Here is a 24570-nt window from a genome sequence, read left to right on the forward strand (position 1 = left end):
TTTGTTGCAGATCCGCCAGATATTCCTGATGAAGTAACCTGTGTCATTTATGAATATTCAGGCAACATGACTTGCACCTGGAATGCTGGGAAGCTCACCTACATAGACACAAAATACGTGGTACATGTGAAGAGGTAGGTCACTTCCTCACGGCTTCATATAAGCAGTTCCACCCCAGTTCAGCCAGAGCTCTGCCTCCAGCAGAGATCCAAGAAATCAGCCTCAAACATTAAATATATACCCTGATTTATCCCTTATTTCCTACTTATGATCAGTGAAACTACCAAAGCCCTTTTCAAGCCATTAATATTTTCACTCTGGCAGGCAAAGTGCTCTATGATCTTTCTGTCCTTTTTATTCATTAGTAGGTAACTGGTAGCAGGCTCCTAATGGTGGTACAGCCTAGCACAGTTTTAAGCCATTGCTTAGGACGGGCACAGTGGCTCACACCTGTAATCCCACACTTTGGGAGGCCAAGGTGGGTGAATAACCTGAGGTCAGGAGTTTGAGACCAGCCTGGCCAACATGGTGAAACCTGGTTTCTACTGAAAATACAAAAATTAGCCAGGCATTGTGGCAGGCATCTGTAATTCCAGCTGCTCAGGAGGCTGAGGCAGGAGAATTGCTTGAACCCAGGAGGCAGAGGTTGCAGTGAGCCGAGACTGTGCCACTGCACTCTAGCCTGGGCGACAGAACAAGACTCCATCTCAAAAAATAAAATAAAATAATAAATTATTGCTTAAATCCCTGCTCTATTCTTCTTCTAGGGTTTCAACAACTTAATTTCCCCGAATTGCTATTATTTTTAATCTTTAAATGGGCCTAAAAATAAAACATAACACACAGGTTTGTTCTAATTAATTATGTGGAATTTGGCTTTTAAAGTGTATATAATTATGCCATATTACCACTAAATTCATGGAAGCTATTGTTAATAATGACCCTCAGATCTTAAATTTAGTGTCTACATAGCTGATCAACTTTCCTGTTTGCCTTATACTAAGGGGGTTTTCAGGACAAAGGATTTTCAGTTTTAAAACCTGGAAAGTTGTGGGCAAACTAGGACAAGTTGCTTACCTTATCCGTGTTTCTTGTTTTGTTTAGTTTATTAAAAAATAAAATTCCAGGCCAGGCATAGTGGCTCATGCCTGTAATCCCAGCACTTTGGGAGACTGAGGCTGGTGGATCACCCGAGGTCAGGAGTTCAAGATCAGCCTGGCCAACATGGTGAAACCCCATCTCTACTAAAAATACAAAAATTAGCTGGGCGTGGTGGTGGGCGCCTGTAATCCCAGCTACTCAGGAGGCTGAAGCAGGGAGAATTGCTTGAACCCAGGAGGCAGAGGTTGCAGTGAGCTGAGATCACGCCACTGCACTCCAGCCTGGGCGAAAGAGCGAGACTCCATCTCAAAAATAATAATAAATAAAATAAGATGCCGGCTGGGCGCGGTGGCTCCCGCCTGTAATCCCAGCACTTTGGGAGGCTGAGGTGGGTGCATCACCTGAGATCAGGAATTTGAAATGAGCCTGGCCAACATGGTGAAACCCCGTCTCTACTAAAAATGCAAAAATTAGCCAGGTGTGGTGGCACACACTTGTAATCCCAGCTACTGGGGAGGCCGAGACAGGAGAATTGCTTGAACTCAGGAGACAGGAGCTTGCAGTGAGCCAAGATCGTGCCATTGCACTCCAGCCTGGGCAACAAGAGGGAAACTCTGTCTCAAAAAATAAATAAAATAAAATAAATAAAATAAAATAAAATAAAATAAAATAAAATAAAATAAAATAAAATAAGCCTTCTGTGGTGTTGTTGAAGTATGCTTTTTTTTTTCTGTCACTAATTCTTAAAAATTTCACAAACCATTTTGTAAAGCATTTATTGGACCCTTACTGTTTGCCAAGCACTGGGCCAAGAGCTTTATAAATGCTGCCTCATTTAATACCCTATACAACCATGTGAAGCCCTGGGATCATACAAATGCTTATATCCTCCTAAAATTCATATGTTGAAACAAACCCCCAATGCAATAGTAACAAGAGTTGGGGCCTTTGAAGTGAGATTAGGTCATGAGGGTAAAGCCCTCATGGATGGAATTATTGCCCTTCCATAAGAGGCCTGAAAGAGAGCTTGTTTGCCCTTCTACCCTGTGAGGACACAACCAGAAGGTGCTGTCTGTAAAGCAGAGAGTGAGCCCTCACCAGACACTGAATCTGCTGATGCCTTGATCTTGGACTTCCAAGCCTCCAGAACTGTAAACAATAAATTTCTGTTGTTTATAAATTGCCTAGTCTAAGGTATTTGTATGGCAGCTCAAAGAGACTAAGACAGCTGCATACAATTATTTTTCCCATTTGTATAGACAAGGGAACTGAGACTTAGTGAGGTCAGGTAATGAATGTATCCAGGACCACACAGCTGCAGAGAAGGAGAGGTGGAATTTGAACATAGGTTGCCTGACTGTCTTCTCAACTTATTTTCTGCTGAAGGTGTGTGGAGGACCAGATCGCAGGGCATATTTAAGATATTCTACTCAGTTCTCATCATTATGGAAGGGAATAACCTTCTTTTTAAAAAAAATCTTTTTATTTATTTATAGGGTTTTTGTTTTGTTTTGTTTTCGTTTTTGTTTTTGTTTTTGAGCCACGGTCTCTGTCGCCCAGGCTGGAGTGCAGTGGCACAATCTCAGCTCACTGCAACCTCTGCCTCCTGGGTTTCAAGCAATTCTCCCAGCCACCAAGCCTGATCTCTATGGAAGAGAATAACCTAATCTTGCTCTCTCTCTCCACTTTTTGGATACTCAGAATAATTTTGATTAAGTGAAACCTAAAAAGAAACACCTCATCAGTCAAGAAAGTCCACGTAGAAACTAGACAGATTTTATGAACACATTGCCAGGCCTAGAGTTACCAGCTACATGCCATTGGCAAGAGGCGTACACCTTTCATTCTGAACAGGAGTTAAACAGAGGCATATTCTGGTACCAAAGAGGTGATGAAAACTCTGATATCAGGGATGGGTGGAATTGATTGAAGAGATGCAATATGCTAAGTACTGTGCTCTGTACTTCATGTGCATGACATCTTCAATTCTCAACTTAACCTTGTGAGGGAACTATCGTTATTGTTCCCATTTTACAGATGGCGTGGGGAGCTCACATTACCTCTCCAAAGTCACTTGACTAAGAAGTAAAGGAGCAGGGATTCTAACAGGGATTTCTCTGGCTACACCACTGGAGACTAAACCTCTACCCCTTGCCTATAGGGTAAAGTAGAAAAGCCATGAGAGCAAGACAACTAGAGTCTCATTGCTAAGTCAACTTTAGGAATGTGAAGGTGAGGGCAGTATGGCAGCAAACTTTGCACTTCAAGCACACAGAAAAACCAGGCAGTGCCAGATTGACAGAGATAGCCTAGTGTCTTGAGGATCTTCACTATCTCCCAGAACCTGGAAGGATCTCCTGAACTGCTTATCCTGGTTGTTTGGTTAATTCATTCTTTCTTTTATTTTTAATATAACCCTTTATTAAGTATAATTCATCTACCATACAATTCACCTTATTTAAAGTATATCATTCCTTGAGTTTTAGCACCCATCACTACAATCAATATTGAACATTTTCATCATGCCAAAAAAAAAATCACATCCATGAGCAGTCACTTCCTATTTCCCCTCAATCTTCCCAGTCTATGGCAGCCACTATTTGCTTTCCGTTTCTGTTGATTTGCCTACACTGGACACTTCATGTAAAAGGAATCATATAATATGTGGTCTTTTGTGACTGGCTTCTTTCATTTAGTATAATGTCTTCAAGGTTATCTATGGTGTAACATGTATCAGGCTGGAGTGCAATGGTGTGATCTCGGCTCACTACAACCTCTGCCTCCTGGGTTCAAGTGATTCTCCTGTCTCAGCCTCCTGAGTAGCTGGGATTACAGGTGCACGCCACCACGCCCAGCTGATTTTTTTTGTATTTTAGTAGAGACTGGGTTTCACCATGTTGCCCAGGCTGGTATGGAACTCCTGAGCTCAGGCAACCCTCCTGCCTTGGCCTCCCAAAGTGCTAGGATTACAGGCATAAGCCAACGCGCCTGGCCCTTTATTCCTTTTTTTAATAATGTTCCATTATTTGGAACACATTTTATTTATTTATTCCTTGGTTGATGAACTTTTTGGTTGTTTCCACTTTTCAGCTATTATGAATTATTCTTCTATTAATATTTGTGTACACGTTTTGTGTAGACATATTTTTATTTCTCTTGGGCATATATTTAGGAATAGAATTCCTGGGTCTCTTGGTAACTCTATGTTTAATCTTTTGTTCAACTGCCATAATGTTTTCCAAAGCAGCCACACCATTTTACATTCCCAACAACAGTGTATAAGGGTTCCAGTATCTCCACATTCTTGCCAACCTTTGTTTTTATCTTGGTTATTGCCATCCTAGTGGATGCAGGTTAATTCTTTCAAGCCTGACTTACCTGCCTTCTGAGGTTCCTGATAGTAAAACTGCATTGCAAATTCCAGACAGATGAACCACAATTTGAAAAAATATATTTGTTGGATACAATTTTAAACTTGCTAACCCCCACCTAATTTCCTATTTAGTATCATAAAAATATTTTCTGAATATTTTATATGACTATGTATTATATATTTCTTTTAAAATCCTTTAATGTGTTCAAAATTATGTATGTTTACATTTATTTACACATGACTTTTGAGGAACACATTCACTTTATAAAGTAAGGAATATTTGTAGTAGTTATGAGTACTAAGATTGTTCTCAGTACTCAAAAAGTCACTCTGAAAGTATTAAGAATGAGTTTACTAAAGAGAATGCTTTCAGAAATATTCATTGGGAAGAGCATGGGCTTTAGAGTTTTAGATTTAATTTCCAGTTCTGAAACTTACCAGTCAGGTGTCTTTTATGATACAAATATCAGAAAACTCAAGTGCTGGCCAGGCGCAGTGGCACACGCTTGTAATCCCAGCACTTTGGGAGGCTGAGGCAGATGGATCACTTGAGGTCCGGAGTTCAAGACCAGCCTGGCCAATATGGTGAAACCCCATCTCTACTAAGAATACAAAAATTAGCAGGGCATGTAATCCCAGCTACTTGGGAGGCTGAGGCAGGAGAATCGCTTGAACCTGGGAGGTGAAGGTTGCAGTGAGCTGAGTTCATGCCATTGCACTCCAGCCTGGGCTACAGAGTGAGACTCCATCTCAAAAAACAAAAAAATAAAAGAAAAATAAAAAAACTCAAGTGCAGTCACTTAAATAGACATGGACTTATTTATATCAGGTCATAATTATATGTAGTAACAGATGGCATGATAATTCAGTAATACCCCAGGGATCTAGGCTCTTTTCCTCTTTCTACTCTGCCATCTTCAGTGTGTTGACCTTAATCTTCAGATGCTGTATCTCCAGGCTTCTTATCCAAGTTCCAGGCAGGAAAAGTGGTAAAGAGCAAAGGAGTTCCTCCTGTGGACTTCGACCTACACTGAGTTGGCCACAACAGTGTCACATGTCTACTCTGTCTGGATGGGAACCTGGCAGAAGGGCATTGTAAATGGAGTTGGATACCGTCATCCAACAGTATCTGCCATAGTTGCTAGCTGTGTAATCTTAGAAGAGTTATTTAGCCTTGCTGAGCCTCAGCCTCCTGTGAAATGAGGATAATTAATGCCACAAAGCTTATAAAAAAGCAAATTATAGGAAGTGACTTGCATATAGGAAATGCTTAGAATTAAGTACAACACAAAATGATGTCTTAGTCCCTTCAGGTGACTATGACAAAGCACCTAGACTGCGTAATTTGTAAAAAACAGAAATTCGTTGCTCACAGTTCTGGAGGCTAGGAAGTCCCAGATCAAGTGTCAACAGATTTTGAAGGTCTGTTCTTCATAGATGGTGACTTCTATATGTTCTCACATAGTAGAAGGGGCCAGGCAGCTCCCTTCAACCTCTTTTATAGGGGCACTAAATTGATTCATGAGGGAAAAGCCCTCATGACTTAACCACTTTCTAAAGGCCCCACCTCTTAATACTATTACATTGGGGTTTAAGTTTCAACATGTAAATTTTGAGGGTACACTAATATTCAGACTATAGCAAAGGATATTATAATATTATGGCCTAAGGGAAACCTGACCGATTTGATTGAGGGAAATATTAATGTAAAGCCATAAAAATTATTATTTATAGGATATTATAGATAATTTTATTCATATATTTTTAAGTAATACAATAATTTTGGAAAAATCTAGAAAGAGATGTTGCATGTGCTCTAATAGAAAGACTTATTTTTTGTATGTCAATAGTACATTTATTCATTCAAACTAGAATGTAGGCTTAATGTGGGCAAGAATTTTTGTTTGATTTTTTCATTGCTATGTTGATTGAATCTAGAATGGGGCCTGACACATAGTAAATGCTCAATAAATATTTGTTGAGTAATTATTCTAGTTGATAACTAGAAATAGACATTTCCTGAATCTCCCCTTCACTGTCTAGTTAAGTAATAATATAAGGTCATATATATTTTATAAATTATTTTTCCCATCTTCTTTCTTAAAATCCAACAATAAACTATAACCAAACTCTGATAAACCTAACCAAGTTCTGAATTGATGGAGGCCAGATTAATGGGATTTTATTACATTCTAAACAGGACATAAAAGATATAAAAGGTTAGAATAAAAGTGAATGTTCTCCTCTAGAAAAGTCAAAGGACTAACTTATAAATATAGACAGGTCAGAAAAGGAAACAAACACCTATTTATCTAATGATTAGTTACAAACAAACTAATGAGTTGAAAAAAATTAGAGAAGAGGGCTGGGCGCAGTGGCTCATGCCTGTAATCCCAGCACTTTGGGAGGCTGAGGCAGGTGGATTGCTTGAGCTCAGGAGTTTGAGACCAACCTGGGCAACATGGCGAAAAATACAAAAAATATAAAAATTTCTACAAAAAATACAAAAACTAGCCAGGCGTGTTGGCGGGTGCCTGGAGTCCAAGCTACTTGGGAAGATGGCTTGAACCCAGGAGGCAGAGGTTGCAGTGAGCCACTGTACTCCAGCCTGGGCGACTTAGCCAGACCCTGTCTCAAAAAAAAAGAAAGAAAAGAGCAAGTCAATTTCCCTAACTACCAGAAAAAATCTTTCCCTCAAGGAGAAAGCTGACTTATAATGAATGTTGTGGTCGAGGTAGTATTATGTTTAAAGGAGCTCTTCTAAACGTTCAGTTATTAGGGTATTTTCCACATTGGTAACTAGGCAGAGATCAGCATGTGCAAGGTTTCACTTCTAACTCATGTGGTTCAGTTTTCCAGTAAAATCACATGTAGAGAGAAGCTTTTTACCTGAGACCACCTACTCATTTCTCCAGTTGCAGAAAGGCAGTGTTTCCCCTATGGCAACATAGGTGCCATCACAGGCCTCCTCATGTTGGGGTGAAGTTGTAAAGTAGAATTTTGTCTGTTTTGCTTCAAGAGCTTTCTTTCTTCCCAGCTCCTTTGCGGTGGCCTCACCAGACAGAGCCTCCTGGCTGTTCACATACCTTCTTTTACCTCCTGTATTTTGCTGTTTCAAAGGGTAATGATAGGGAAAAAAAAAAACCAAAAAAAAAACAAAACCAGTGCTAATAACCATCTCCCTACTGTAGTCCCACTATCTTCAGCAATTTCATGTAAATATATTTTTTATTTATCTTGGAAACACTGGTAATGTCTGGCTCAGTGTATTCTACTCCATAAATATTTGTTGAATAAAAATGCATGAATGATAGCCCTGCATTCTGTTCCATTCAAGTCATCTTAGCAAATATTTATTTAGCATTTGATGGTTTCCTGGAATTGTATTAAACTGTAGATATTTAAAAAAAAGAGATCATCTCTGTGCATGACAAGCTCATAAACAGTTTAGAATAACATCAATGTTGGGATTTTCACGCACCGTAGAAGACCAATAAGGCAAATGTTTTCAGATGCAGTATCATGTTAGAGCCCTTAAATTCAGCGGCCTACTCTGCTAATTCATAAGGCCTGTTTGTTTTTGCCACAGCTTCTCTACATGCATATTTTTAATAACCAGAAAGAGTTCTTAGGTGTGATTCCAAATACTATTTTTAAGGCTACGTTAGGTTTCAGTAATTCCTTTAGGACTCAAAATGTAGTTTATATTTTAGAATCCATTTCCTCACTGATTATGAGCCCAGAGAGCTAATTGTGGCTGGAGACAAACAGAACCTTGCTGACTGATACTGCTTTATATTCATGACCACTAACCTCAACTGGGCCCGGAGAGCCACACAGTAATCCTACTACATTTCACTAGCCAAGTCACTGTCTTGCTAAGCCAGGTCATTGCTTCATTACTTTTTCTGTCATCTCTCCTCTCTAGTATCTTCCCTTCCTCACTCTCTATTGAAGACCTGCTTCCTACTTTCCTGAGAAAACAGAAGCAATGAGAAATACCACAGCCTCCCTCATTGACTAATGCATTGACATCTGTACCCATATAGTTGATCTTTCCTGCTATTGCTATGGATGAATTACCATTGCCCTAAGGTCAACTCTCCACTTGGGTACTAGATCTTATCCTGCCTGCCTACTGGAGGACACTGCTCCAAAACTTTCCTCTCTTCCTTCTGCATTGTCATTGTCTCTGTCTTTACTGGATCATTCCCATTGGCTTTTAAGCATGCTGTAGCCTTTGCCCTTTTGAAAAATATAACCCTCCCTTTGTTCCTGACCTCTACCACCCAATTTCTCTGTTTCTTTTTATGAAAAAAAATCAAAAGAGTTGTCTGCACTGTCTGTCTCTATTTTCTCTCTTCTCTTTTATCTAGTTTAGTCATGTTTTATGTCCTCACCACTCCACTGAAACAGCTCCTGTCAAAGTCACTGATGATTTCCCCATTGCCAGATTGAATGGCTTATTCTCAGTCTTTATCTTACTTATGAAACATTTACTATCCGAGCATTTAATGTAGCTCTTCACTTCCTCCATTTGGCTTCCAGGACAGGACTCCCTTTTGCTGCTCCTCCCACCTTCCTGGAAACTTTATCTCAGTCTCTTTTGCTGATTCATCTTCATTTCAGATAAATTCATAGTGACCCAGAGCTCTATATTTTGTCAGCCTAAAAAAAGACACTAGGGAAGATTATCTTCAAATTTGTTGGGTTTACTTGAGAATATAAATAAGGAGTATAATACAGAATGCATGACATGGCAAGCCAGCAGTGCATTTGGTGAGGGAAAGGATAAAGGGAAGCTTTTATTACCAAAAAGGAATATATGTGAGCTATTTAGGAACAGAGTTCATTAGTTCCAGAGGCTCAAAGCCAGAGTGATTGTCAATTAATAAGTGGAGATGTATTACTGGGTAAGCGGTCTTCCAAAAACATCTTATCTGGATTACTGCAGTCCTAAAGGATGTCTAGTGATAAACCTTATCAAAGCAGGGGATGACTGAAAGGTTTTTAGAAAGTCCTTGGGAACAGTTCTTATCTCAGACATGTAAGCATGGGCCTCTTCTCCTTCAGGCCTTTCTTGCCCTATTTTGTCTGGGTCTGACAAAAGTGATTTCATCCTGGTATGTGCAACTTTCACACCTAGGACCTTTTATTATCTCTATTTACAGTCATTACCTAAAGGATAGCCTTCAAATTTGTGGTTTAAAATTCCTCAATGTATATCTGTGTCTAAATATCTCCACCAAATACAGCTGCCATGTTTCTAACCTGTCATTCAAGGTATCTTGAAGTTAACATTTTCAAAACCAAACACCCAGTTTCCTCTCCCAAGACTTGCATTTTCCATTTCAGTAAATGGCAACTGTATCCTTTGCATTATTCAGGTCAAAATCAGGTAGATTCTCCTGGATTCCTCTCTATTATGGCCTTCATCTAATTGATCAGCAAAACCTTCCGGCTCTATCTTTTAAAATGACCTCACCACCTACACTGCAATCCAAGCCAGATCATCTCTCACTTGGGAGTATAAGAACTTCTAACTGGTCCACTCGCTTCCTCCAGAGTCCCTTATTCATGAGTTTTCACAGTAATCCTTTTCACATGCACCTCAGGCCATGTCACCCTTCTGCTCATGAACCTCCCATTTCATTCAGAGATCAAAGCCAGAGTCCCTCAAGGACTCTATGTGACCTTGCAAGTCTTCTAAACTTTCCCCTCTTCCAAAACTCTCTGATTTTGTCTTTAATCCCTTTCCTAGTAAAACCTCACTGACCTCCTTGCTGCTCTTTGAACAGGCCAAGCAAGGTCCTGCCTCAGGGCCTTTGCATGTTACCTAGAATGCTCTTCCTCCAGAGAGCCACAGGGTTTCCTTATTGCCCTAATGTCACCCTCTCAGATAAGACTTTCCTCATCTCTCTAAAAAACAAAAACCTTAAAACCCACCCCTACTCTCAGAACTGCCTAACCTTTTTACTCCGCTTTAGTTTTCTTCTGAACATTTCTCACCATACATAGATCAGATTCTATATTTATTTGTTTCCACCAAAATGTGTGCTTCATGACAGTTGGGACTTTATCTGTTTTGTTCATTGTAGCCCCAATATCTAAAAATATACTTGGAATATAGTCAGTGTTAAATAAATATTTATTGAATGAGTGATTAAATGAATGAAAGACACTATTTACCATTATCAACATAAATCTGCAATGTTTTTTGAAAATCTATAAATTACAACTATATCTAGGTGCTCAGGGAACATCAGAAAAATATGAATTATACTAACTCCCTTCACAAATCATCTGTCATGTATTAGCCCATGAAAAAAAGAAATAGAAATAAGATATTCAAAAACTTTGTAATATACAGTTATGTAAAAGATAGAGGAAAAACCAAAGTGTTGTTCTCCTTTCTACTCTCAACAGCACTCCTGACACGAAATGTGGGAAGATTTTCCCCACACACCAATCAATTCTCCTGCAGACATCAGCTAGATGTCCTCTAATTTAATTCAATTCTGACTCTGTCTACCTGGAGGTAGCATCAGATCCCACAGCTAAAGGCTCAGTCCCACAAGACTCAACCCTGTTTTAAATGTCAATCACAAGCCCCAGGTCATGACCTGTGCTTTTGACCAACCGGCTAAAAATTGTGGTTTCCACGATACACTCCTCAGGTTTGATTAACTTGCTAGAGTGTCTCATAGAACTCAGGAAGACACTTTACTTATATTTATCCATTTATTATAAAGAATATAACAAAGGCTACAGATGAACAGCCAGATGGAAGAGATGCATGGGGCAAAGCATGCGGGAACACCACCCTGCAGGCATCCTCATATGTTCAGATATCTGGAAGCTCCCTGAACCCAGTCCTTTTGGGTTCTTATGGAGGCTTCATTACATAAGCACGGTTCATCATATCATTGGCCATTGGGGATCATTCAGCCCTTCTCTCTTCCCAGGAGATGGGGGTGGGTAAAGGGCAAGGGGGTTGGGGGGACTGAAAGTTTCAATCTTCTCATCACATTGTTGGTTCCCCTGGCAACCAGCCCCTACCCTAAGCCTATCCAGGAGCCCCCAGCCATCAGCCATCTCATTAGCACTTTGGAGATTCCAAGGGTTTTAGGAGCTGTGTGCTGGGAACCAGACAGAAACCAAATATATATTTCTTATTATGTCACAATATCACAAGTTCTATATAAAAATAACCCTAAGGTGTAATTAGTCATTATTATCAGATTCTTCAATTAAAACAGTGCTTTGTGGTCTAGGTGCTAATATGGGGTAGACTTTAAAAGCAGAATTAAATTACTTAGTAACTATGGTTACTGTCAGTTTGAAAATACATTTCCATTTTGACTTGTGGTCTCAGTATGTGTGGTAAAAGAATTAGCCACAAACCAATGAAGAACATATAATGTGGTTTTCTCTAACTGGAAAATATTCAAAGATGTCCTACTTACCATTTACACATAGTTGCCATTTTCTTGTTTTCACATTTGAATTCTTACTTAGCATGAGGTTAACATACTTTAACAAGTTCTCTGTTAAGGTATTTACGTTTCATCTTATTTCAGAAAGAATATAAGGTAACTATGTAAACATCTCAATTTAACGGCATAATTTAACTTAAGATACAGTGATATAAGAGAAATTTTACTGGTAAGAAATATAGCAATTTTAAAAGTTTCATTTGTATTCTTTAGAATGTGTCAAAGTCACATATCATAAATATCTTCTTTTTTTATTTAAATGGACACATAGTCTCACTCTGTCATCCAGGCTGGAGTGCAGTGGTGCAATGTTGGCTCACTGCAGCCTCCATCTCCTGGGCTCAGGCAATCCTCAGCTTCCTGAGTAGCTGGGAGGACAGGTGCCTGCCACCACACCTGGCTAATTTTTGTATTTTTAGTAGAGACAGGGTTTCACCACGTTGGCCAGGCTAGTCTCAAACTCCTGACCTCAAGTGATCTGCCTGCCTCAGCCTCCCAAAGTGCTGGGATTACAGGTGTGAGCCACCATGCCTGGCCTCAGCCAGTATCTCTTAATTCAGAAAAATTGTTGTTTAATGAGTCCTTCATTAGGTGAGAAGCCATCTACTCTGTTTCTTATTTAATTTACTCATGATAACAACAACGTTATCATTCCTATACTGAGGATGAGTAAACTGAGCTGTATAGAGCTTAAGTAACTTGCTCCAAGTCTTACAACTTATCAAGGGGCAGAGCTGGGATTTGAAGGTAGGTCTGTCTCTAAAATCCAAGCCCTGTGATTTTAGTCACCATGACATACCCTCCTCGTCCTCTCATGGTGTTCATAGTGATCTCACGCTGGTATGAGGAAAGAGGTAACACAGAAAAAATGCACTGGAACCGAAAAACCTGAGCTGAATAGGAGGAGTTGCTCCTCACCCCTCCAATGACTATCAGCCTTAGAGAGATTCCTTGACCACTTGCTGAGGTTGTCTTGTTCTGATAGTAGCAATAAGTTTATATAAATTATATAAAATATAGAATTTCTATAGTACTTAGATGCACACATCTGCTTATTGCTTGGTATTAATAGCATAAGGCTGGTTCCTTTTCTCTGCGTCTCAGCAAGCACGTTTCTTGGATTCCAAAAGATGTAAGTGGCTAGCAAGTTTAATCCTGGTGGGATATTTTGGGGCTAGAAAAATTTAGGAGTTGCTGAAAAGATATATAGTAGTAACAGGACTTGGTGGAGCCTTGGTGGAGGGACAGTGATTTTTAAGCTTTATCTTCTCCACAAATCCAATCAAGGCAGTCCCCTGAGAGAGAGGGCAGTTGATGGTATTAGATTTAAAAAATCAGGTTAGAGTCTGCCTCAACAGCACAAACAGTGTAATTGGAACAAGACAAAGAAGATGGCATGACCCCTGATCAAGGACGGCATGCAAATTTGTGAAGTATTTCCATTTGATACAAATAAGAATGTATATGGCTGAGCACGGTGGCTCATGCTTGTAATCCTCACGTGGGAGGATCCCTTGAGGCCAAGAATTTGAGAACAGCCTGGGCAACATAGCGAGGCTGCATCTCTTAAAAAAAAATTATTTTAAATAAAAAAATTAGTTAGGCCTGGTGGCACATGCCTGCGATCCCAGCTACTCAGGAGGCTGAGGTGGGAGGATCACTTGAGCCCAGAAAGTCAAGGCTGCAGTGAGTTATGATTTGTGCCACTGCACTCAAACCTGGGTGACAGAGTGAGACCCTGTCTCTAAAAAATAGAAGAAAATAAGAATGTAGGCTACTTGGCTTTCCAGCATTGTTCAGATTTCAAGGTTACTTTCCTTCTAAAGTAGTATATCTATATCAAGTTAAGTTTCATGATGTAATGCAATTAACTTAGGAGTCTGAAAGTCATAAACCAAACAGGTAACAAAGACCTAGACCATTGCCATAGCTATCAAAACAGGGAAAAAAGATAACATAGGAAAATAATATTTTAATGCTTAAAAAAATGCTTAACCTTCTTTAGTAATTGGTTGGCTCTTAAAGGTGACGAAGAGAAAATTGTTAAAAATGGCAAACTGAGAAAGGTGGACCGCATGCCTTTGACAACAATGAAGACACTGGCAAGAAGTGCTGATTTGCATGGAAAGATAATTTAGTTGTCAGTTTTCTATAGTTCTGGTTCCAGTCAGACATCCAAATGAAGCTCCCAGTGAGGGCACAGGTATGCGTGAGACACACATGTGAAATAGCAGGTGAAGCTGAGAAGGGAGTGAGCCCAGAAAAAGGGGTCAGGGAAAAGGCAAACACCAGGGCTGACCTTCAATGTGAGTGAACTCAGAGAGTAGGGAAAGAAACCCAGGTGGAAGGCTGGAGGGGGACATGCCACTAAGTAGGTGTGAGAGAGGAAGGCCCTCTAACCCAGAAGACAGGCTTTGGGTAGCAAGGAAGTGAGAATTATAACCAATCAAGAGGGATAAATGCTTAAATGAGGATTCAGAGGACTTCACCTTGTAAAGGACACCATTTTAAAAGAGCAGTTTCAAGGAAAAGTAAAGGCAAAGATCACAATAAAAGGACTAAAGACCAAATGGGAATAAGTTGGATGTAGTTACTAAGGAGGTAGAAAATCTGAGAAGCTTAAGAACATGAAATAATGGAGTAGGTAGTTCAAGGGGCTCAAGAAATGGGAACTGAGGAAATTCTAGTGAAAATACTTCCATGTTACAAATGAATCTGATTACAGATTATGTTGTGTTTTGGAGTCTGAGGGGGGCCCTATTCATCTCTGCAGAAGAATGAGTGAACAAGGGGTGGGACAAGAGGCTAGGAGATTTGAGGACACTCCTGTGTTAGTCCATTCTTGCCTTGCTATAAAGAAATATCTAGACCAGGTGTGGTGGCTCACACCTGTAATCCCTGAACTTTGGGAGGCCAAGGCAAGAGGATCACTTGAGCTCAGAGCTCGAGGCTGGCCTGGGCAATGTGGCAAAACCCTGTCTCTACAAAAAATTAGCTGAGAGTGGTGGTGCATGCCTGTAGTCCCAGCTACTCAGGAGGCTGAGATGGGAGGACCTCCTGAGCCTGGGAGGTCAAGACTGCAGTGAGCTGTGGCCATACCACTGCACTCCAGCCTGGGTGACAGAGTGAGACCCTGTCATTAAAAAAGAAAAGAAAAGAAAAGAAAAGAAAAGAAATACCTGAGGCTCGGTAATTTATGAAGAAAAGAGTTTTATTTCAGCTCACAGTTCTGCAGGCTGTCCAGGAAGATTGTGAACAAGATAGAGGGAGGGGGGATATGCCACACTCTTTAAAATGACCAGATCTGCCTGAACTCAGAGGGAGAAGTCACTCATTACTGCCAGGAGGGCAGCAAGCCATTCATGAAGGGTCTGCCCCACAAGTCCTCACCTCCAACACTGGTGATGACTTTGCAACATGAGATTTGGAGAGGATGAGGGTGGAAACAATATCAAATCTCTTCACAGAAATCAGAGGAGCAAAGAAGCATTCTCCAGCACTCCTTTCGCCACCGCCTCCAACCCTCGTCCACTAAAAACATCATGTGATTATTTAGGGGTAGAGATTTAAAAACAGAGGCTCAAACATTCTGTCCAAAGCCAGTGAAAACAATTTGAAACTCTGGCATTAACAGATATCATTCGGAATTCTACCAAGTTTATTGGGCTACTTGGATATTCTCATTCAATTATAAATACTTAGATAAATATGCTTTGAAATGATACTTAATAGCCCTCTCTATTCCCCTGTTCTAAACTAGATCTTTCCTCTTTATCTTTTCCATCCTCTTCCACAGTGCATGACTCCCTTTCCCCTCATCAAACCTGTCATTAGGTCCAGTCAGTTCTACACTCAAAATCCTTCATGGGTTGGGCGAGGTGGCTCATGCCTATAATCCCAGCACTTTGGGAGGCCAAGACGGGCAGAGTGCTTGAGTTCAAGAGTTGGAGACTAGCCTGGGTATCATGGGAAAACCCCATGTCTACACAAAATACAAAAATTAATTGGGCATGGTAGTACGTGCCTGTGGTCCCGGCTACTCAGGAGGCTGGGGTGGGAGGATCACTCGAGCCCAGGAGGTCAAGGTTGCAGTGAGCCAAGATGGCCCCACTGCACGCCAGCCTGGGTGACAGAGCCAGACCCTGTCTCAAAATCCTTCATATCCACCCCCATTGGCTTCCACCTATTTCAGACTAATAATCCAATTCTGGATTATTGTATAGCCTTTTGATTTTTCCACTACCACCACTTTCATTTCCCACAAATCCTCCGTAAAGGTGCTAGACAGTCCCAGAGACCCTCAAAATAGTGTGAATCTCACTATATGCACTCACTTTCTATCACTTACATGATACAGTCCTGATCCATCAGTAGCTCATGGAAGGTCTTCTGACAGGCCTGCTCCACTACAAGTTTCTTCTTGCATTTTCAGGATCCAGGCTATTGCACTTGTTGAACCTTCTCAGAAATGTCATGTTATTTCACGTATTTGTTTCAGAACATGCTGGTTGTCTCTGTCCAGGAGGTTGGCCTTCCCCCTACCCCATTGCGATCTCTCACCCCATCCTGACTCCTCCCCACCACTCCATCCTCACCCTATGTCCTGATAGAAATGTCTGACTTCACAGTCCTTGCACTGAACCAAAATGCAGTGCTCTTTTCCAAAGGCAGCTATTCTGGCTATTCCAAGCTATGTCCAGTGCCGACTTCCCTAACAGGCACAGTAGGCACAGTGGCTAGGGCCCACAATAATTTTAGGAGTCCATGAAAATGTTTAATTTTACTTAAAATCAGAAGAGAAAAATAACTGTTATGTTCATGTATATGCATGTATATGGCATGCATATGTATACATCTATGTATATGTGTGTATATTTTTGTGTATTTTATATATTTATATAATATATACGCTCATTGTTTTTTTAATGGAGGAAAGGGTCCATGAAGGCAGAAGTGTTCAGGGCCCATTGAAATCATACTGTGGCCCTTGTCAGATTTGAATTTATTTTTTAAAATTGTGAAAATAAAATCAATTTTGAAATATTTTTCAGTAAAAGGTTGCATATTTGAAAGCAGGCTTAAAAAGTTAGCGTTTTTGTCCAGGCACAGTGGCTCATGCCTGTAATCCTAGCACTTTAGAAGGCTGAAATGCACGGATTGCTTGAGTCCAGGAGTTTGAGACCAGCCTGAGCAACACAGCAAGACCCTGTCTCTACTGTTTAGAAAATTAAATTTTAATTTTTTGTTTTTGTTTTTGTTTTTGAGACGGAGTCTCGCTCTGTCGCCCCTGCTGGAGTGCAGTGGTGTGATCTCGGCTCACTGCAAGCTCCTCCTCCTGGGTTCACGCCATTCTCCTGCCTCAGCCTCCCCAGTAGCTGGGACTACAGGCACCTGCCACCACGCCCGGCTAATTTCTTTTTGTATTTTTGGTAGAGACAGGGTTTCACCATGTTAGCCAGGATAGTCTCGATCTCCTGACCTTGTGATCCGCCCGCCTCGGCCTCCCAAAGTGCTGGGATTACAAGCGTGAGCCATAAATTCTAATTTTTTTTAAAAAGGTAACATTTTAAAAATCTGGAATAATTAATTCAAACTTTTTTTCTTTTTTTTTTTTTTGAGACAGAGTCTCACTCTGTTGCCCAGGCTGGAGTGAATGGCGTGACCTTGGCTCACTGCAGGCTCTGCCTCCCGGGTTCCAGCAATTCTCCTTTCGCAGCCTCCCAAGTAACTGGGATTACAGGCACATGCCACCAATTATTGTATTTTTTTAATAGAGACAGGGTTTCACCATGTTGGCCAGGCTGGTCTCGAACTCCTGACCTCAGGTGATCCAACCCGCTTGGTCTCCCAAAATGCTAGGATTACAGGTGTGAGCCACCATGCCTGGCCAATTAATTCAAACTAAATACAATTTATGATCATCTTTTTTTTTTGTTTTAAGTTTAGAGACAGAAGAAGAGCAACAGTATCTCACCTCAAGCTATATTAACATCTCCACTGATTCATTACAAGGTGGCAAGAAGTACTTGGTTTGGGTCCAAGCAGCAAACGCACTAGGCATGGAAGAGTCAAAACAACTGCAAATTCACCTGGATGATATAGGTAAAGAATAAGAAATTCTGTAAGTCTTTAATAATAACCAGTTTGTGCTGACCTTGTCAAATGAGGTCTAGATCTGAAAGAAGTTCCCCTAAAGTTCCTGCAGAGCATGATAAAAGAAACAGAAATTACCCATAATTCTACCTGCCCAAGACAACTTAGAGATGAGTAGTGCTGCTGCCATTTTGTTGTATATCCTTCCAGTCTTATTTCTAAATTGTTGTATGTGGCTGGGCCGGTGGCTCACGCCTGTAATCCCAGCATTTTGGGAGGTCGAGGTGGGCGATCACTTGAGGTCAGGATTTCGAGACCAGCCTGGTTAACATGGTGAAACCCTGTCTCTACTAAAAGTACAAAAAAAAAATTAGCCAGGCATGGTGGCGGGCACCTGTAGTCCCAGCTACTCAGGAGGCTGAGGCAGGAGAATTGCTTGAATCTGGGAGGCAGAGGTTGCAGTGAGCCAAGATTGTGCCACTGCACTCCAGCCTGGGTGACACAGCAAAACTCTTGTCTAAAAAAAAAAAAAAAAATCCATATATGTGTTTTTACAAATATTTATTGGAAACTTCTTATTTTCAAGCATTGTTCTAAAGGCTAGAGTGAATAAGATAGACAAGGTGCCTGCCCTGAAATAACTTACAATCTACTAGGGAAGGCAAAAAAAAAAAAAACAAAAAAACACTATGATCATGATAAAGTTTGTTGAGTCTTACGTTGTGAAAAGTACAGCATGCTAAATTCTTATACTCTATACACTACTTGGGGACTTATGTAAGGTTTTTTTGTTTGTTTGTTTTTATTTTGAAAAGTTTTACAAAATACATAGAAAATTGCAGAGAATTATGTAGACCTCTCTATGTTCATCAGCCAGATTTAACAAACATTAATAGTTTTTGTTTCAGATATTTTATACCCTGCCTTTTTATACTTATATATTAGTAATAAACATTTCTATTAATTTAATCTATAGTTTTATTTTTAATGTTGTCTGAATATATAGCAGTTTAATCCCTATTGTTGGAGATTAACACTGTTTTCAGTTTTTAACCATATAAACTATATTGCCATGAACAACTTTGTGGCTGAATTTTAGCATAGTTTTTGATTGTTTCCTTAAGATAAATTCCAAAAAGTAATTACCCTTGAGCCTTTTACAACTACATCCAAGTCCTAAAACCACAATTCAGCCAAATGACACCAAGTCTGAATCATCCTGTCTTTGCAGATCCCAGTACCAATGATTCCTGTTGTTATAATTAAAGATATTTCAATAAGCTAACATTTATTGAGCACTTTCTTATGTGCTAACTACTTTTTCTTTTTTTGAGGCAGAGTCTCACTCTGTGGCCCAGGCTGGAGTGCAGTTGCACAATCTCGGCTCACTGCATCCTCTGCCTCCTGGCTTCAAGCAATTCTCATGCCTCAGCCTCCCTAGTAACTGGGACTACAGGTGTGTGCCACCATGCCCAGCTGATCTATATTGCCACAAAGTTGTTCATGGCTATATAGATTTTTGTATTTTTAGTAGAGATGGGATTTTGCTATGTTGGCCAGGCTGGTCTCAAACTCCTGAGTTCAGGCAATCCTCCCACCTCAGCCTCCCAAAGTGTTAGGATTACAGGCGTGAGCCACTGCCAGCTAACAGCTTTTCACATACGTTATTTAACCCTCATATCAACCCTATTTTGTAGATGAGATTATAATTTATATATTAGAAAACTGAGGTTTGATGGCATTAAAAAATTTGAGATCACAGAGGTAGGGAACATTTAATTCAGGGGATCCTCCTGCCTTAGCCTCTCGAGTAGCTGGGACGACAGGCCACAGGCCACAGTGCCTGGCTAATTTTTTTAAATCTCTTTTAGAGACAGAGTCTCATTTTGTTGCCCAAACTTGTCTCGAACTCTGTGGCTCAAGCGATCCTCCTGCCTTGGCCTCACAAAATGCTGGTATTTCAGGCGTGAGCCACCATGACCGGCCTGAATATTAGATTTGAAAACACACTCTGTTGAATATGATGATGGACAATTATTCCATTTTATTGTATATCCTTGGAGTTACAGTTCTCTTGACTATGCTCTATACATTTTTGTGAATTTACATTTTGAGGTAGAATGCAGTAATATACCCTTTTCTTACGATAGATAAATTAATGATGTTTAAGAGCTATCATGACCAGTATCATTTTAGCAGTGCAATTTTTAGGAACTAAATAATAATAATAATACTTGTATTATTATTACCATTCTGATCTTAATATCATTGCATCAATTTATTTAGCACCTTCTGTGTTCCAGACACCTCTCATGCACATCACGTTTCATTCTGGAAACAACCATACATGATACTACTGTCCCCATTTTACAGATGAAGAAAGTGATAAAATGATTTGCGCAAAGTCACTTAGCTAGTAATGAGGAAAGCCAGATTTCATCCCAGACATGCTGACTTGCTATAGTTTACCACCATCCCACCTCCCACAAAGGAAAAAATCCCATCTGGCCTCTACTTCCAGACTGACTTCTCACACTGGGAACTAGGAGTTTGGAGTTGTGGTTCCTTTTCCTTCTTCTCCTTCTTTCTCTTTCCCTCCTCCTCTTCCTCCACCTCCTCCTCCTCCACCTCTTCCTCCCCTTTTGTCTCTATTCCTTTCCTTGCCTTTTCATTATCCCAGAATGTACTCAGAAACTCAGGTTGAAAAATATGGATTAATTGTATAGGAGGCCCCAGCCAACAAAACCACCAGATTATTAACAGATGAGCCGTCTTCATGGGTAACACTTTAAGAATGAGACAACGCAAATTAGATAAATGAACTGTTCTATGCCACTGAGAACAGAAGACTGTCCTGGGAACAATTTCCACATAGCAGCTACGGGCTGGGCTTTAATGACATTAGGGAGGTTATGCTGAATGGCAGCGCAGAGTTAGTAGCACATTAACACTTGCCAAAAAAGCATATGAGAGGAATGCTTTTAACTTCTCTTGTAGGGAAATAAATTCGGGTACAGAAATTGCTGTGCTTTCTGCCTGCCATTTTGAATATTACTTCTCCCCATTATATAAATATGGATAAATATGTGTTGGAAAGATGCTAAAAGGCTATAATCTCGCTTTTATTTCAATACGAGTAGAATTTAAAAATATGACATCTATAATAAAATTGATACTTTTTTTTTCTTTTTTTGAGACGGAGTCTCGCTCTGTCGCCCAGGCTGGAGTGCAGTGGCGCGATCTCGGCTCACTGCAAGCTCCGCCTTCCGGGTTCACGCCATTCTCCTGCCTCAGCCTCCCGAGTAGCTGGGACTACAGGCGCCAGCCACCTCGCCCCGCTAATTTTTTGTATTTTTAGTAGAGATGGGGTTTCACCATGTTAGCCAGGATGGTCTCGATCTCCTGACCTCATGATCGGCCCGCCTCGACCTCCCGATACTTTTTTAAAATGTAAGATCTGGTGGAAATATGTGAAACCTAATCAGTAAGAATAAAAATTCAACATCTGAGTCTTGTGTAACAAACTAAATATTCAAGTATGTATTACATAATAAATGCCAGTTTGCAAAAATATGAACTCATTCAAACTTAAAGACTTAAATCTGGATTGCACTGACCTGCTTTATGCTGTGATTCTTACTGTGCTATCTGCATTTCTCATAAGACTAAACAGATTTTTACTTTCTCCTCAGAATAATTCTTTTGCCAAAAGGGTCCTAGAATGCTTGTGCTGCTATAACAGTGGCCAAGCCGAACTCAGAGGTGGAGGTGGGTGACAGGAGGAGGTGAGAAATTTATGGCCTTGAGGGTGCTTAAAATGGTCCTAAGCAATTTCAGAGCCCCAGGGATCCATGCCCTTGACTCTAGAATCTCAATACTGATTTTTTTTTTTTTTCCAGGGTTGGGGTTGGGCAGAGTCTTGCTCTGTTACCCAGGCTGGAGTGCAGTGGCATGATCTCAGCTCGCTGCAACCTCTACTTCTTGGATTCAAGTGATTCTTGTGCTTCAGCCTCCCAAGTAGCTGGGATTACAGGCGTCTGCCACAACACCTGGCTAAGTTTTGTATTTTTAGTAGAGACAGGTGTTTCGCTATGTTGGCCAGGCTGGTCTTGAACTCCTGACCTCAAATGATCTGCCCACCTAGGCCTCCCCAAAGTGTTGGGATTACAGGTGTGAGCCACTGCGTCCAGCCTGAATACTGATTCTTATTACAAGAAGCTTGCACTAGCAAAAGGAAATCAGCTATGGAATTCAGATGATAAAGGTTGAGTACAGTAAACTTGTTAACTAAATTAAAGCTACTGCTACTTCTACGCCAGGTGTAGCCCCCAAAATTTTATTAGAGGACTGTGTTACTAGACAGCAAATCCTTAATTTTTGTTTTTCTCTGTAAATCATCTACCTTTGCACATAATTTTAGATAATAATAGTATAATAGTCATTGTAGTAAAACAATAATTTTCTTAAAGAAAGTTTTATAAACCTAGAATAAATGAAAATAAACTAATTCATAGAGAATATTAACCTGTAATAGTGGTCTCTAAAACCACGCCTACAGGCCCTTGAGTTCTTTGTTAAATAGTACAGCTATCAAAGTCATAGGTTTTCATTGTTCCTTAGGGGAGAAATGGAAAGTGTTAATGATTCTATTCTGTTCAGACAAAACAAACTTACAAGTATTTACACAGTTTAGAAACATAGCGATTCCAACTATATACCTCCTACTATAACAAAACAACTAATAAAATAACCAATCAGAATTTCAGTTCCTTCTGTGAAGGTTATTATTATAGAACATGCCAACAATTTACAAAGCCTTAGAGTCTTATGAGATCTGCTTTCTTCAAATAAAATTTCAAGGAAGGACAGATTTATTTTAAAGGAGAACAAAACAAGTTAGCAATAGATATAAATATTCATATGTTTCCCTAATACACAAGAGAAGGAGAAGATTATTGTGATAAAAGATCTGAATTGAACATCCATCTTTCTTTCTTTCTTTCTTTCTTTCTTTCTTTCTTTCTTTCTTTCTTTCTTTTTCTTTCTTTCTTTCTCTTTTTTTTTCTTTCTTTCTTTCTTGCTCTTTCTGTCTCTTCCTTTCTTTCTCTTTTCCTTCCTCCTTTCCCTTCCTTTCTTTCTTTTTTGACAGAGTCTCGCTCCGCCACCCAGGCTGGAGTGCAGTGGCATGATCTCAGCTCACTGTAACCTCTGCCTCCCGGGTTCAAGCGATCCTCCTGCCTCAGCCTCCTGAGTAGCTGGGATTGGCACGCACCACCACCACGCCGGGCTAATTTTTTCTGTTTTTAGTAGAGACAGGGTTTTGCCACGACGACCAGGCTGGTCTCAAACTCCTGACCTTAAGTGATCTGCCCACCTCGGCCTCCCAAATGCTGGGAATACAGACATGAGCCACCATGCCCAGCCTTTCTTTCTTTTTTTTGAGACAAGCTCTCATTCTGTCGTCCAGGGTGGAGTACAGTTGCACCATCATGGCTCACTGCAACCTTGAACTCCTGGGCTCAAGTGACCCTCCCATCTCAGCCTCCTGAGTAGTTGGAATTTCAGGCACACATCACCACACCTGGCTCAATTTAACATCTTTTCAAATCTGATCATCTGAACTAAATTTGGGTGCATATCATCTCTCCTCGAACAGATGGAGGGAAGAGGGGATAGCTCCTTTATCTCATTTTTATACTCTTTTGTTAACAAGGCTAGGCTCTGGAATTTTATTAGTTAGGATTGTAAGGGAGTGAAAGGTGGGGGAAAGACAGGACTATTAGAGTTCAGTTTTTTTTTTTTTAATGGGGAATGGGCTGAATAGAATTTTCCTTAACAGCAGTTTTCTTCTATGTAACAAATTAGCAAATAAGAAAATGTCCATAATTGTTCATTAGACCATGAATTTTATTTTTTTTTACTTTGAGCTTTCTCATATCTAGATATTGACGAAAAGATGCCAGTTTCTCCCTAGGCAAGTTTTAAACAGCCAGGTCTTTTTTTTTTTTTTTTTTTTTCTAGTGATACCTTCTGCAGCCGTCATTTCCAGGGCTGAGACTATAAATGCTACAGTGCCCAAGACCATAATTTATTGGGATAGTCAAACAACAATTGAAAAGGTTTCCTGTGAAATGAGATACAAGGCTACAACAAACCAAACTTGGAATGTAAGCTCAACTTTCATTATGCTTTAGCATGTGAATGAATGATTTAAAAGCCAACCATCAGTGGCTACAGTGGACTTATTATGTCTATTTTACATGTTTTTAATCTGATTGTTTGCATGATATTCAAGCCACTTTAGTTTTTGTTTTATAATTTCAACTTTTATTTTAGATTCGGGGGCACATGTGCAGGTTTGTTACCTGGATATATTGCATGGTATTGAGGTTTGGGGTATGATTGATCCTGTCACCCAGGTGCTAAGCATAGTTACCAATAATTTGCTTTTCAACCCTTGCCTTCCTACCTTCCTCCACACTCTAGTGTGGTCCCCAGTGTCTATTA

At 40.2% G+C, this 24570-nt stretch overlaps 1 protein-coding gene and 1 pseudogene across 4 annotated transcripts in view; both read left to right on the forward strand.

Moving 5' to 3' along the window:
- The window catches only part of IL23R (interleukin 23 receptor), a 127267-nt gene that overhangs the window by 44189 nt on the left and 58508 nt on the right, over positions 1-24570 (forward strand). For all 4 annotated transcript variants that reach the window (XM_011540790.4, XM_011540791.4, XM_047447227.1 and 1 more), the window contains exons 4-6: positions 11-134; positions 17912-18072; positions 24085-24230. In XM_011540790.4, the coding sequence (XP_011539092.1) occupies positions 11-134; positions 17912-18072; positions 24085-24230 (431 nt within the window). The remainder of the gene's footprint in view (positions 1-10; positions 135-17911; positions 18073-24084; positions 24231-24570) is intronic.
- RNU6-586P (RNA, U6 small nuclear 586, pseudogene) lies at positions 13315-13418 on the forward strand (annotated as a pseudogene).

Source organism: Homo sapiens, chromosome 1 (genome assembly GCF_000001405.40).
Source record: "Homo sapiens chromosome 1, GRCh38.p14 Primary Assembly".
Classification (NCBI taxonomy): Eukaryota; Metazoa; Chordata; class Mammalia; order Primates; family Hominidae; genus Homo; species Homo sapiens.